This window comes from Homo sapiens, chromosome 10, assembly GCF_000001405.40.
Source record: "Homo sapiens chromosome 10, GRCh38.p14 Primary Assembly".
NCBI classification, from domain to species: Eukaryota; Metazoa; Chordata; class Mammalia; order Primates; family Hominidae; genus Homo; species Homo sapiens.
The window spans coordinates 68,408,631-68,423,049 of NC_000010.11; the positions used below are offsets into that span (position 1 = coordinate 68,408,631).

Sequence of the window (14,419 nt, forward strand, 5' to 3'; positions counted from 1 at the left end):
AGACAGGGTCTCACTCTGTCACTCATGCTGGAGTGCAGTGGCGCGATCTCAGCTCACTGCAACCTCTGCCTCCCAGGCTCAAGTGATCCTCCCACCTCAGCCTCCCTAGTAGCTGGGACCACAGGCGCTCATTGCCACACCCAGCTAACATTTGTATTTTTGTGCTTAATTTTTTAAAAAAAGTTACATATATATGACATATACTTATGATCCCAGTTTTAGTTTATCAATAAATACAGCAATATGAAGGTATATCTATATATCTATATATAGATATATATACATAGTTAGAAAAATAAATGCATAGGTAAGAGACTGAGTAAAGTACATGAAAATGTTAATAGTTATGATGTGTGGGTGGGGGCATTGTGATTACTTTTTTCCCTAAACTATTGTGTGTGTGTGTGTGTGTGTGTTTGTTTAGGCTTTTATTTTAGGTTTGAGGGTACATGTGAAGGTTGGTTGCATAGGTGAACTCATGTCATGGGGGTTTGTTGTACAGATTATTTCATCACCCAGTTAAGTCCAGTATCCGATGGTTATCTTTTCTGCTCCTCTCCCTCCTCCCATCCTCCACCTTCAAGTAGACTCCAGTGTCTGTTGTTCCCTTCTTTTTTTTTTTCTTTTTTTAAGACAGGGTTTCACCATGTTGGCCAGGATGGTCTCGAACTCCTCAGCTCAAGTGATCTATCTTCCTCAGCCTCCCAAAGTGTTGGGATTACAGGCATGAGCAACTGCACCTGGTCTTGCTTTTCCCTTCTTTGTGTTCATGAGTTATCATTTAGCTACCATTAATTTTTATTTTATTTTTTGTAGAGATGAGGTCTCACTATGTTGCCCAGGCTGGTCTCAAACTCCTGGTCTCTAGTGATCCTCCTAACTCAACCTTCCAAAGTGCTGGGATTACAGGCATGAGCCACTGTACCCAGCCTACAAGTCATCTTTTTCATGAGCAATATAGTCCACTGAATCCAGGTGGACCAGCTTGTCACATCATACCACAGAGCTTTCAGCCATAGCTTTAGCTGGCTCAAGACATGATTTTCTTATAATGACAACTGTAATGCTTCTGAACATTTGTATAGCACCTGGAAAATGTTACCACGCTGGGGGGAAAAGGAGATACACATAATGGCCAGGAAAATTGCAGAATTCCTAATCAGAAAACGTGGGTTCTGGCAATGACTTGCCATGGGTCACATGCTAACACAGACTATCTATGATAGGTTCTCTATAGGGTTTAATTCAATTGGGAAAATATCCATGAAAAATATTGATAAATATTAAAGTATCCTACTAATTACAACTGCTACTTTAAAAAAGCAGTAAACAGGCCAGGTGCAGTGGCCCACGCCTGTAATCCCAGCACTTTGGGAGGCCAAGGTGGGAGGATCACCCAGTCAGGAGTTCAAGACCAGTCTGGCTAACATGGTGAAACCTCATCTCTACTAAAAATAAATACAAAAATTAGCCAGGCGTGGTGGCGCGTGCCTGTAATCCCAGCTACCTGGAAGGCTGAGGCAGGAGAATCGCTGGCACGCAGGAGGCAGAGGCTACAGTGATCCAAGATCTCACCACTGCACTCCAGCCTGGGCAACAAAGCAAGACTCCATCTCAAAAAAAAAAAAAAAAAAAAAAAAGGCAGTAAACAGCCAGATGTGGTAACTCATGCCTGTAATCCAAGTACTTTCAAGAGGCTGAGAGAGGAGGATTGCGTGAGGCCTGAAGTTCCAGACTAGCCTGGCCAACATAGCAAGACCCTGTTTCTAAAAACAAATTTTTTTTAGTTAGTTAGCTGGGTGTAGTGGTGTGCACCGGTAGTCCTACCTACTCAGGAGGCTGTGACAGAAGGACCGCTTGAGGCCAGGAATTTGAGGTTGCAGTGAGCTATGATCCTGCCATGCACTCTAGCCTGGCCAACAGAGACTCCATCTCTTAAAAAAAATTAAAAATAAAAGCAGTAAATGCTATGAAGCTCCATATAGGTACTGTTATAGTACTGTATAAAGATGAAGATAATTCTTTTGGCTGGGAGAAAAATCAGAAAAGGCTTTTTGGAGAAGGTGGCATCTTAAAGTCTAAGTGGGTAGAGATGCCTAAATGGTGACAGAGGAACAGACAAATCTAGAGAGTAGATCAAATGGGAAACAGAATAGGCATGCACAGGAACAACAAAAATAGTTTCATATGGTTACAACAAATACACAAAGATGCCATTAAAGAATAATCACTATTACAAACCATGGGTTCCGACCTACTAGTGGCACCTGAAAGCAATTTTAACAGGTTGCAATTAGCTTTGTTTTTATTTATTTTTTATTTTATTTTATTTGAGACAGAGTCTCGCTCTGTCACCCAGGCTGGAGTGCAATGGCATGATCTTGGCTCAGTGCAACCTCCACCTCCACCTGCTTGAATTGGATTCAAGCGATTCTTGTGCCTCAGCTTCCCAAGTAGCTGGGATTACAGGCATGCACCACCATGCCCAGCTAACTTTTCTATTTTTAGTAGAGACGGGGTTTTACCATGTTGGCCAGGCTGGTCTCGAACTCCTGACCTCAAGTGATCCACCCACCTCAACCTCGCAAAGTGCTGTTATTACAGGCATGAGCCACCGCGCCCGGCCACGCTTTGTTTTTAATGGAATAGAGTGGAACAAATCAGGGTATATCATATACAGAAAGGGTAAATATTGTTTTATGACAGTATTGTTTCAGATGCATATTCATACACAAATCTACATTGAGTCATGATGTAAAATGGATTTCTTATTGTGGATGTGGTAATTTTGGTTTAAATACTAGCCTAGATCATCATAGACCAAACTATGTAATTACTAAAGGATGAAATTACAAATAAATTTCATTTTCTGGCCAGGCACGGTGGCTTATGCTTGTAATCCCATCACCTTGGGAGGCCGAGGTGGGCGGATCATGAGGTCAGAAGTTCGAGACCAGCCTGGCCAACACAGTGAAACGTCAACTCGACTAAAAATACAAAAATTAGCTGGGCGTGGTGGCAGGTGCCTGTAATCCCAGCTACTCAGGAGTCTGAGGCAGGAGAATCACTTGAACCTGGGAGGTGGAGGTTGCAATGAGCTGAGATTTTGCCACTGCACTCCAGCCTGGGCAACAGAGCTAGACTCCATCTCAAAAAAAAAAAACAAAAAAAAAAAACCAGAAATTTCATTTTCTAAAATATGTAGTGTTTGAACTTCTTACTAAAATCATGTACTGCTCTGTAATTACAGGGGGAAAAATGTTTTGGTGTTTTTTTGTTTTTTTGTTTTTTTTTTTGAGATGGAGTTTCACTCTTCTTGCCCAGGCTGGAGTGCAATGGCGTGATCTCGGCTCACTGCAACCTCCGCCTCCCGGGTTCAAGTGATTCTCCTACCTCAGCCTACCTAGTAGCTGGGATTACAGGCGCCCGCCACCACACCTGGCTAATTTTTGTATTTTTAGTAGAGATGGGGTTTCACCATGTTGGCCAGGCTGGTCTCGAACTCCTGACCTCAGTTGATCCACCCGCCTCGGCCTCCCAAAGTGCTGGGATTACAGGCATAAGCCACCGTGCCCAGGCCAAAAATGTTTTTTGTTTTTTTTTTTTTGAGACGGAGTCTCGCTCTGTCGCCCAGGCTGGAGTGCAGTGGCGGGATCTCGGCTCACTGCAAGCTCCGCCTCCCGGGTTCACGCCATTCTCCTGCCTCAGCCTCCCAAGTAGCTGGGACTACAGGCGCCCGCCACTACGCCCGGCTAATTTTTTGTATTTTTAGTAGAGACGGGGTTTCACCGTTTTAGCCGGGATGGTCTCGATCTCCTGACCTCGTGATCCGCCCGCCTCGGCCTCCCAAAGTGCTGGGATTACAGGCGTGAGCCACCGCGCCCGGCCAAAAATGTTTTAAAGAAAGAAAAATTATGCCAAGATCTTTAAGCTCAGTGAACTGTGAGATGATGTCATTTACAGAAATAGGGATCACAGGAGGAAGGCATTAAATGAAGATGGAAATTTCCAATTTCTTTGTACTAAGTCTAAAATGTTCACAGAATATTCTGAAGGCATTGGCTGGAAAGCAGCTATATAACTAGAACTTGGAAGACAGGGTGTAGTACAGGTTGAGTAAACAGCCACATGGGTGATGGGTGAAGCCAGTGACTGTCCAAGGAGAAAGAGGACCAAACCAGACTTGGAGCTCTGGGGAAAGCCTGCCATTAGACAGCCAGGAATAGGGAGAAAAGAAAGGAATCAGAGATGGCAGGCAGCAAGAGGGAAGTCAGGGGGAAGAGGAGAGGAACTCTGAACTGATTCAGGAGAGGGGCCACTGGAACAGCCACATTGTCTTCGCATCGTGGCTTTATACTTTTTTGTTGTTGTTGTTGTTGTTTTGAGATGGAGTCTTGCTCTTGTCATCCAGGCTGGAGTGCAGTGGCACAATCTCAGCTCACTGCAACCTCCGCCTCCCAGGTTCAAGCGATTCTCCTGCCTGAGCCTCCTGAGTAGCTGGGATTACAAGCGCCGGCCACCACACCCGGCTAATTTTTTTGTATTATTAGTAGAGACAGGGTTTCACCATGTTGGCCAGGCTGGTCTCGAGCTCCTGACCTCAGGTAATCCACCTGCCTCAGCCTCCCAAAGTGCTGGGAATACAGGCATGAGCCACCATGCCGAGCTTCCTAACTCTTTTAAACAATTAAATGGCTAGACTCATCACCAAGACAGATCCAAAAAAAAAAAAAAAAAAAAGGAAACACAGAACACATCCCCAGGTTCTCTTCTATGGAGCTTTACTTTTCAGGCCATACAAACCTGTAATGAAGCAAAAGGACTTTCTTATTCATTTCATTCCCAGGAACTAAAATTACCATCAGATTCCTTCCTGATTTATACTCTCATTATATCTAACCAATATTTAAGTTCATCACAGCAACCTTTCCCGTTTGTCCTATCTAATCTATAACCCCTCTCCATGATCAAGCCCATCCTGTGTGCCCTTCATAAATCTCTTTATAATATCAATGCTGCTTGGTTTCAGCTTTCTAGCATGATCAATACTTCACTTGTCACTATCAGAAAACATGCGGCCGGGCGCGGTGGCTCACGCCTGTAATCCCAGCACTTTGGGAGGCCGAGGTGGGTGGATCACGAGGTCAGGAGATGGAGACCATCCTGGCTAACATGGTGAAACCCCGTCTCTACTAAAAATACAAAAAAAAAAATTAGCTAGGCGTGGTGGCGGGCACCTGTAGTCCCAGCTACTCGGGAGGCTGAGGTAGGAGAATGGCGTGAACCCGGGAGGCAGAGCTTGCAGTGAGCCAAGATCGCACCACTGCACTCCAGCCTGGGCGACTCCGTCTCAAAAAAAAAAAAAACAAAACATGCTAGATAACCCTGAGTTTAATTATTATTCAGTATTAATAATAATTGACACAGTTAAGATCCATTAGTAGAAAAAATTTATTAAATAAAAAACTTCAAGTAATAATTTAAAAAAACACATGAGGTAGAAATAAAAATTTTAACATATTTAACACTCATTAAAAAAAACCCTCAAGAGAAATGGAAGATTTCCAAGCCCCAGAAGAATCTGTTACCCCAAGAATCTTTTAACCTTTGTTAAAATCTGTTACTTTTTATATATATAATATAATCACTTTGAGACAATTTTGTTTTACAAAACATCTTTACACAAAAAAGGGAAAACTGAGTGATACCCCCAAACATAGGGGCATATGAACATATGTGAAAATAGGAATCAACTTTTTAAATTTATTATCAATTCAGAAAACAAAATTTGTTGCAAAAGATGATGTAAGAATTATTTTCTTTTATATCAAAATCTACTCTAGAATACTGAAATACTGAATACTGAAAACAAAAAAGGAGGATAGTAAGGGAGGATAGAAAATTAACAGGAAGTAATCAATTCATGTCATAAAAGACTAGGTTTAGAGTGAAAACACATCTGATAGCAGAAAAAATCCTAGCAAAATGGGCTTTGGATTAGGGACCTCAAAATACAGAAAAGAATCACACTTATGTTCTCATCATCACAAGACTGTGCTTAAATGATGAAAACAAATCAAATCCCTTTATTCAGTCTTTCAAATAAAGTTCTTACAATGATATCTACAAAATCAAATTAGTCCTGAAATGTCTGACTTAAAAGTTTAAAGCTCAAAGTCAAAAGTTAATCCATCTTCAAAGCTGGTAAAAATTTATCAAACTCTTTCTCTAGGTTAGGCAAAAATGCATGCATAGAACCCATAAATTCAGACTTTTCACAGTTTTCGGTACACCTGTGCTTTAAAACATAAATACTGCATTAAATTTTGTATGGTGATAGAATTTTCTGTATGGGCACTAGCTAGAGGAGATACTGCCCTAGTATGAAAAGGCAAGGGAAATAGTGTTTTATTCTCTTTGAAAGTCACCCAATATGTGGCAAAGACTTTCATGTTCTCTTGATGGAAGATCAATGATGTAAAATAAATTAAGGAAGAAATATTTAGCACAATATGGAATGGCATAAATTTATGACATTATTATTTAACATTTTGTAATTTGACTTACAGGACCACAAAAAAAAAATAAGGATCTTTATGGCATTCAATGAATAATTATGCCTTTAAGCAACAGGAGTTATTTATCTTTTTTTTTTTTTTTTCTGAGATGGAGTTTCACTCTTGTTACCCAGGCTGGAGTGCAATGGTGCGATCTCAGCTCACCGCAACCTCTGCCTCCTGGGTTCAAGAGATTCTCCTGCCTCAGCCTCCCGAGTAGCTGGGATTACAGGCATGTGCCACCATGCCCGGCTAATTTTGTATTTTTAGTAGAGACAGGGTTTCTCCATGCTGGTCAGGCTGGTCTCGAACTCCCAACCTCAGGTAGTCCGCCTGTCTCAGCCTCCCAAAGTGCTGGGATTACAAGCGTGAGCCACCACGCCCAGCCTCAGAGTTATTTATCTTAGCCTACTTCATACCTTCATAAGAAGTATGAAGTTCTTATGAAGCCTAAGAACTTCATACACTGTTTTTTTTGTTTTGTTTTGTTTTGTTTTTTGAGACGGAGTCTCGCTCTGCCACCAGGCTAGATCTCGGCTCACTACAACCTCCGCCTCCCGGGTGCAAGCGATTCTCCTGCCTCAGCATCATGAGTAGCTGGAACTACAGGCACACGTCACCATGCCCAGCTAATTTTTGTATTTTTAGTAGAGACGGGGTTTCACCATGTTAGCCAGGATGGTCTCAATCTCAACCTCGCAATCCACCTGCTTCAGCCTCCCAAAGTGCTAGGATTACAGGTGTGAGCCACCAGGCCCAGCCCATACACATTTTTAAAAAACGATTTATCTTAAGGCCAGGTGCAGTGGCTCACCTCCTCTCTATTAAAAATTTTAAAAAATTAGCCAAGCGTGGTGGTACGTACCTGTGGTCCCAGATACTCAGAAAGGTAAGGTGGGACGACTATTTGAGTCCAGGTCAAGGCTGTAGTGAGCAGTGATCCTGCCACTACACTCCAGCCTGAGTGAAGTTAGGCACCACTTCTTGGGGGAAAAAAAGGCTGAATGTGGTGGCTGACACCTGTAGTCCCAGCACTTTGGGAGGAGGCGAGTGAATCACTTGAGCCCAGGTGTTCAAAACCAGCCTGGGCAACATGGTGAAACCCTGTCTTTACAAAAAAATACAAAAATTAGCTGGGCATGGTGGAATGCACCTGTGGGCCCAGCTACTGGGGAGGCTGAGGTAGGAAGATCACTTTAGCCTGGGAGATTGAGGGTGCAGTGAGCTCTGATCATATCACTGCACTGCAGCCTGGGTGACAAAGCAAGGCCCTGTATATAAAATAAATAATACTCCATTTTAATCTAATCATTTGTTCTGGATTAAAAAAGGGTTATAGGCTGGGGGCCGTGGCTCACATCTGTAATCACAGCACTTTGGGAGGCCTACACAGGAGGATCGCTTGAGCCCAGGAGTTCAAGACCAGCTTAAGCAACATAGTGAGAGCTTTAATTTAAACAAGCAAATAAATACTCACAACAGTGCAATCAAATGTGACCATATACAGAAGAAAAAGGATATTAATTTTTCTGAGTTTAAATGATTAAGCAGCTTCTCCAAAGGAGGATAGCAATTTAGTGAGGGCACACACCCCAGAAGAATCAGTTTATGTTTGGCTCTGGTTATAGCAACATTAAGACGTCGCCAATCTTTCAAGAGTTCACCAACCTGTAAGAAATATAATTTTCAATTATTCAAGTTCAAAGGAATGGTTAAATATATTACAACACATCCCTACACAATGGACACCTGTGCAAATTTAAGAATAGAATGAGGCCAGGTGTAGTGGCTCATGCCTGTAATCCCAGTACTTTGGGAGGCCGAGGCAGGTGGATCACTGGAGACCAGAAGTTCAAGACCAGCCCGTGCAACACAGTGAGACCCCATCTCTACAAAATATACAAAAATCAGCCAGGCGTGGTGGTGTGCACCTACGGTCCCAGCTACTCAGGAGGCTGAGATGAAAGGATCACTGAGCCAGGGCTGCTTGAGCCCAGAAGTCAAGGATGCAGTGAGCCATAACCATGCCTCCACACTCTGACCTAGCCTCTCAAAAAAAAAAAAAGGAGACTATCTGAGGTAAGAACTGAGTAGATGAGGGATGGAGTACAAAGGAAACCTTTTATTACGTATATTTTAAAACCATATGGATGTATTATACAGTTGAGAAAAATGAACTAAGGAGAGGTAAAAATAAGAAAACCAAAAAAAAAAAAAAAAAAAAACACTATTTGGGAGGACAAGGTGGGAGGATTGCTAGAGCTCGGGAGTTGCCCATAAGCCCGGGCAACATGGCTCTCTGCAAAAAATACAAAACTTAACTGGGTATGGTGGCGCATGCCTGTAATCCCAGCTACTCAGGAGGCTGAGATGGGAGAATCACTGAACCAGGGAGGTGGATATTACAGTGAGCCGAGATTGTGCCATTGCACTCCAGTCTGGGTAACAGAGCCAGATCTCATCTCAAAAAAAAAAAAAAAAAATCAAATCTGAATTGTCTATAAATTTGAAAGTATACAAGGAAGATTTTATATTAAACAGGCCTCAATTACAACAGCCAAGGGGTGGAAGCAACCATTCCATCTGACAGATGAATGGATAAATAAAATGTGGTATATAGAGACAATGGAATATTATTCAGTCTTAAAAAGGAAGGAAATCCTGTCGCATACTACAACAGGATGAACTAGCTGGCTAAGTGAAATAAGGTAGTCACAAAAAGATAAATGCTGTACGATTCTACTTATATGAGGTACTTAGATTAGTCAAATTCAGAGATAGAATGTAGAATGGTGGTTACAGGTGCTGGGGAAGAAGAAAATGGGTGGTTAATCATGAATACAGAGTTTTAGATTTGAAAATGAAAAAGTTCCAGAGATCTGTTGAACAACACTGTGAATGCACTCAACACTAATTAAACTGTACACCTAAAAATGGTAAGATGGGCTGGGCACAGTGGCTCACGCCTGGAATCCCAGCACTTTGGGAGGCCAAGGCAGGTGGATCATCTGAGGTCAGGAGTTCGAGACCAGCCTGGACAAGATGGTGAAACCCCATCTCTAGAAAAGTACAAAAATTAGCCGGGCAAGATGGCGATGCCTGTAATCCCAGCTATTTGGGAGGCTGAGACGGAAGAGTCACTTGAACCTGGGAGGCGAAGGTTGCAGTGAGCCGAGATCGCACTACTGCATGCCAGCCTGGGCAACAAGAGGAAACGCCGTCTCAAAAAAAAAAAAAAAAAGTAAGATGTATGTTTTATGTGTTCTTTTAAACCACAATTTTATTTTCTTTAAAAAAAAAAAAAACCAGAATACATCTGCAGAACGTGCAGTTTTGTTACATAGGTAGACATGTGCCATGGCGGTTTGCTGCACCTGTTGACCCATCCACCAGGTTCCCGCCCCTCACCCCCAACCCGCTAAAGGCCATGGTGTATGTTGTTCCCCTCTCTGTGTCCACATGTTCTCAATGTTAAACCGCAATTTTTTTTTTTTTTTTTTTTTTGAGACAGAGTCTTGCTCTGTCGCCCAGGCTGGAGTCAATGGTACGATCTCGGCTCACTGCAACCTCCACCTCCTGGGTTCAAGCAATTCTCCTACCTCAGCCTCCCAAGTAGCTGGGATTACAGGCGCCTGCCACCACGCCCGGCTAATTTTTGTATTTTTAGTAGAGACAGGGTTTCGCCATGCTGTCCAGGCTGGTCTCAAACTCCTGACCTCAGGTGATCCACCCGCCTTGGCCTCCCAGGGGGCTGGGATTACAGGTGTGAGCCACCGCGCCCGGCCCACAATTTTTAAAGAGAGAGAAATGCCCCAAATGAATCAGTAGCAAACACAATTAACTCACAGTTCCATCCTTATTACTTCTAACAAAAGATACTAGGACAATACTTTTGTCCCTTCCTTGGTATTTGTCTACTGTATTAACTTCGACCATCCCAATAGAACGTGCCAATAAATCATTGATGATCTTTAATTGCTGCCTGTACGGTGCAATAATACCAATATCAGAGGGACTGCATCCAGCCTAAATAGAAAAAGACACAATTTAAAAGAAAGAAATCCTGATTAAGTTAAACTTTTCTGAATTTAATAATTAAATGTTTACATTATGTGCCCAACTGATGTTTATAACAAACTTTCCTATCTCAAAGACTGAATACAATTACTGAATTTGCTCTAAATCTGTCCATATTTCCCAGGATGAAATAATTCCTTAGACATTGCTCCCTTAATTTTTAGTTTCATGAGAACGTAAAGGATTATATGCTACTAAAACAGTGCACACACACACACACACAGTACAAAGAAATACATTTCACCTTCTGCTATTTCTTTCACAGAAAAATTTCCAATTCCTAATCACTACAACATAGTATTGTCTCAATTAGAATTAGCTGACATTACAAAAAGTTATTATCGTAAATGAAAACTCCAAATGTCATTATAAAATATTACATGTCTTAGATACATTTTCTCAAAATAAAAACAATGGGGCTTCAATCCCCCCCTTATCTTAATAAACGAGACTTAATGCCAGATTGTAAGTGTCTTACAGTCTAACATTCTTTTATTCTGCACTTTAATATTTGCTAGCCTTGAAAATTCTAAATTACCTTAACAAAAATGGAGGTTAGGAAAACTATGAGTTTGGCTTCTGTTACATTGCTCACACCACCTTTTTCAACTTGTTCTGGCGCTGGAACCTAAGTGGAAAAATATACAGCCTGCTGATAATACAATCTCTAAAGAGTACTATAAGTACGCAACTGGCCATAAAGACTATACTACCGACTTGGAGATGAAAAATAGCTTTGTCTAAAAGATGAAGGTGAAAGAATCAACAAAAATGAATATTAATATTAGTCACTTTCAGAAAGCCACGCAGAGGCCACCTATCTGAAACATGCTATGATTGAGGCTAAAATACCTACGAAAGCTGATCACACACTGAGCTTCAAATACTTCACTTTGTTATCCCCCATTTTACAGGAATCAAAGGCAGAAAAGAATAAGTAACTTTCCCAAGGCCTCACAATAAACTGTGGCACTACTATTTGAACTTAGGGTGGCCGGGCGCGGTGGCTCACGCCTGTAATCCCAGCACTTTGGGAGGCTGAGGCAGGCGGATCACAAGGTCAGGAGTTGGAGACCAGCCTGGCCAACACAGTGAAACCCCGTCTCTACTAAAAATACAAAAATTAGCTGGGCGTGGTGGTGCGTGCCTGTAATCCTAGCTACTCAGGAGGCTGAGGAAGGAGAATTGCTTGAATCTGGGAGTCGGAGGTTGCAGTGAGCTGACACAGTGTCATTGCACTCCAGCCTGGGAGTCAGAGTGAGACTCCGTCTCAGAATCAAACAAACAAACTTAGATCTGGGTCGTATATCTGTGCTCTTTCCATTTTCTTGTCCCCTTTTATACAAATAATGGAGCAGATAAAACTGCTGTCCTACCTCCTGATACATCTCTTCAAAGACTACTTTCCTCCTACATCATCCCTAAGCAATCTTGATTTTTTTTTTTTTTTTCTGAGACACCAGGAGATTGCACCACTGCACTCCAGCCTGGGAGACAGAGCAAGACTCCATCCTAAAAAACAAAAACAAAAACAAAAAAGTCGTTGTGCAGATTTCTTTTTAATGACTGGTTTGTAAAAAGGTCTTCATGTGCATATGTGGGGGAGGGAGGTTATGAGAAACCTCTGTACTTTCCACATAATTTTGCTATGAACCTAAAACTGCTCTAAAAAATAAAGCTTTTTTTTTTTTTGAGATGGAGTTTCACTCTGTCACCCAGGTTGGAGTGCAGTGGCGCGATCTCGGCTCACCGCAACCTCCGCCTCCCAGGTTCAAGCGATTCTCCTGCCTCAGCCTCCCAGGTAGCTGGGACTACAGGCGCACCACCACACCCAGTTAAGTTTTGCATTTTTAGTAGAGACAGGGTTTTGCCATGTTGGTCAGGCTGGTCTCGAACTCCTGACCCCAGTGATCCACCCCCCTCGGCCTCCCAAAGTACTGGGATTACAGGAGTGAGCCACTGTGCCCGGGTTTAAAGTCTGTTTTTTAAAAAGTCTTTAAAAGGACATCAATTTATTATACCCTCTGTCCATTTGTAAACCCAGCCCTTTGATAGTATCAGTGCCATTTCCTTTTCTAGGAAATAGAATTATACCCCTGAGTTCACTTTGTGGCCTTCCTTCTTCAAAAGTCAATTTTGATATCTACTGACCTCCAGAATAAACCTCCTCCAAAAAATACTGGGCCTATAGAAAGAAAGACTATTTTGGGCCGGGCACAGTGGCTCACACTATAATCCCAGCACTCTGGGAGGCTGAAGCAGGCGGATCATTTGAAGCCAGGAGTTCAAGACCAGCCTGGCCAACATGGTGAAAGCCTGTCTCTACTAAAAATACAAAATTAGTCTGGTGTGGTGGTGGGTGCCTGTAATCCCAGCTACTTGGGTGGCTGAGGCAGGAGAATCGCTTGAATCTGGGAGGAGGAAGTTGCAGTGAGCCGAGATCATGCCACTTGGGCAACAGAGCAAGACTCCGTCTCAAAAAAAGAAAAAGAAAGGAAAAAGAAAGAAAAGACTATTTTGGGTTGAAGTATGAGAAGTACATTAGTTTTGCCTTTTTTTTTCCCCCCAAGATGGGAGTCTTGCTCTGTCACCCAGGCTGGAGTGCAGCAGTGTGATCTCAGCTCACTGTAACCTCCGCCTCCCGGGCTGAAGCAATTCTCATGCCTCAGCCTCCTGAGTAGCTGGGATTACAGGCACCCACCATCATGCCCAGCTACTTTTTATATTTTTAGTAGAGACAGGGTTTCACCATGTTGGCCAAGCTGGTCTTGAATTCCTGACCTTGTGATCTGCCCGCCTTGGCCTCGCAAAGTGCTGGGATTACAGGTGTGAGCCACCACGCCCAGCCTAGTTTTGCCTTTTAACTGATAAGCTCTAATTAGGGCATGTGCTAATGAAAACTGAGAAATTTAAATAATAGGACAAAATGAGAAAAACTAAACAGAAATTTTTTTTTTTACCTTGTCTGTATTAAGGAAACAAACAGGATTGTTGGGTTCAAATACTCCCATCAACCAAGGATTATCAGAATAGTCAGCATAAAATTCCAGTTCCAGCTTCACATCTTTAAAGTGACGTAGGTTTATCACTGCATTGGCCACTTTGTCTGATCCACACTCCAGCTTGCCCTCATAGGTCAGCTTATTACTTAAGGACATAATTTTACTAAGGGAATTACAAAAGATAACTTTAGTTTTGGTAGATGGAAACAAACATGAAAACCACTCCTAGCTAACACTGTTACAAATACCTGTTCATTCTGTACTGCACGGTTAACTGTACAACAGCACTCTTATTCTGCTCCAGCCTCTTGAATAAGCTTTCACTCATGCCAAGAGCTCTGTCAATAAATCAGATTCATGTTTATCAGTGTACTAAATCTGTTCCTTGAAAATAATCTAGTTTAAAATTAACACTTAAGTGTCTGCCTACCTTGCTTCACGGTTTAGCACCAGGGGAGGAAGCTGCTGATGGTCCCCCACTAACACAAATCTCCGTGAAAAAAAAAGGGGGCCCAGACAAATTGGTTGGCTAATTTGAGAGGCTTCATCCACAATACAAAAATCAAAAATTTTACGGGAAAATATTGGATGGTTTATTCCCATACATGTTGTTGCAACTATAAGCTAAAAACAAGGAAAACAGATCAGTTATTTAACATGTAAAAGAAATGTAGTTTTGTTTCTCTCATTTTTGAAATGAAAAGATCAAAAGGTTTTTGTTCTATGGCATCAGGAATCCTTCGATATTATTTAATTCTGAAATATTTATAGCATGCAAATTTT

The 14,419-nt window shown here is 42.1% G+C and overlaps 1 protein-coding gene across 5 annotated transcripts in view, besides 2 other annotated features; it reads right to left on the bottom strand.

Annotated features, from left to right (window-relative positions):
- DNA2 (DNA replication helicase/nuclease 2) overlaps positions 5,434 to 14,419 on the bottom strand; it is a 58,458-nt gene continuing 49,472 nt past the window's right edge. For all 5 annotated transcript variants that reach the window (NR_102264.2, XM_006717680.3, NM_001080449.3 and 2 more), the window contains 7 exons: positions 14,067 to 14,260; positions 13,885 to 13,974; positions 13,595 to 13,799; positions 11,173 to 11,262; positions 10,404 to 10,583; positions 8,079 to 8,225; positions 5,434 to 6,477 (listed from right to left, as the gene is read on the bottom strand). Coding sequence is in view for 4 of the 5 variants with exons in the window: in XM_006717680.3 (XP_006717743.1) it covers positions 6,409 to 6,477; positions 8,079 to 8,225; positions 10,404 to 10,583; positions 11,173 to 11,262; positions 13,595 to 13,799; positions 13,885 to 13,974; positions 14,067 to 14,260 (975 nt within the window). In the remaining variant the exon portion in view is untranslated. The remainder of the gene's footprint in view (positions 6,478 to 8,078; positions 8,226 to 10,403; positions 10,584 to 11,172; positions 11,263 to 13,594; positions 13,800 to 13,884; positions 13,975 to 14,066; positions 14,261 to 14,419) is intronic.
- Positions 6,413 to 6,582: an enhancer, noted in NCBI's record as "experimental_16635 CRE fragment used in MPRA reporter constructs". NCBI's record gives its function as "activates a minimal promoter by MPRAs in K562 erythroleukemia cells, with activity observed for both the introgressed and non-introgressed 10:70174885 variant alleles {active_cell/tissue: K562}" and the evidence as "EXISTENCE:reporter gene assay evidence [ECO:0000049][PMID:34662402]".
- Positions 7,520 to 7,689: an enhancer, noted in NCBI's record as "experimental_16643 CRE fragment used in MPRA reporter constructs". NCBI's record gives its function as "activates a minimal promoter by MPRAs in K562 erythroleukemia cells, with activity observed for both the introgressed and non-introgressed 10:70175992 variant alleles {active_cell/tissue: K562}" and the evidence as "EXISTENCE:reporter gene assay evidence [ECO:0000049][PMID:34662402]".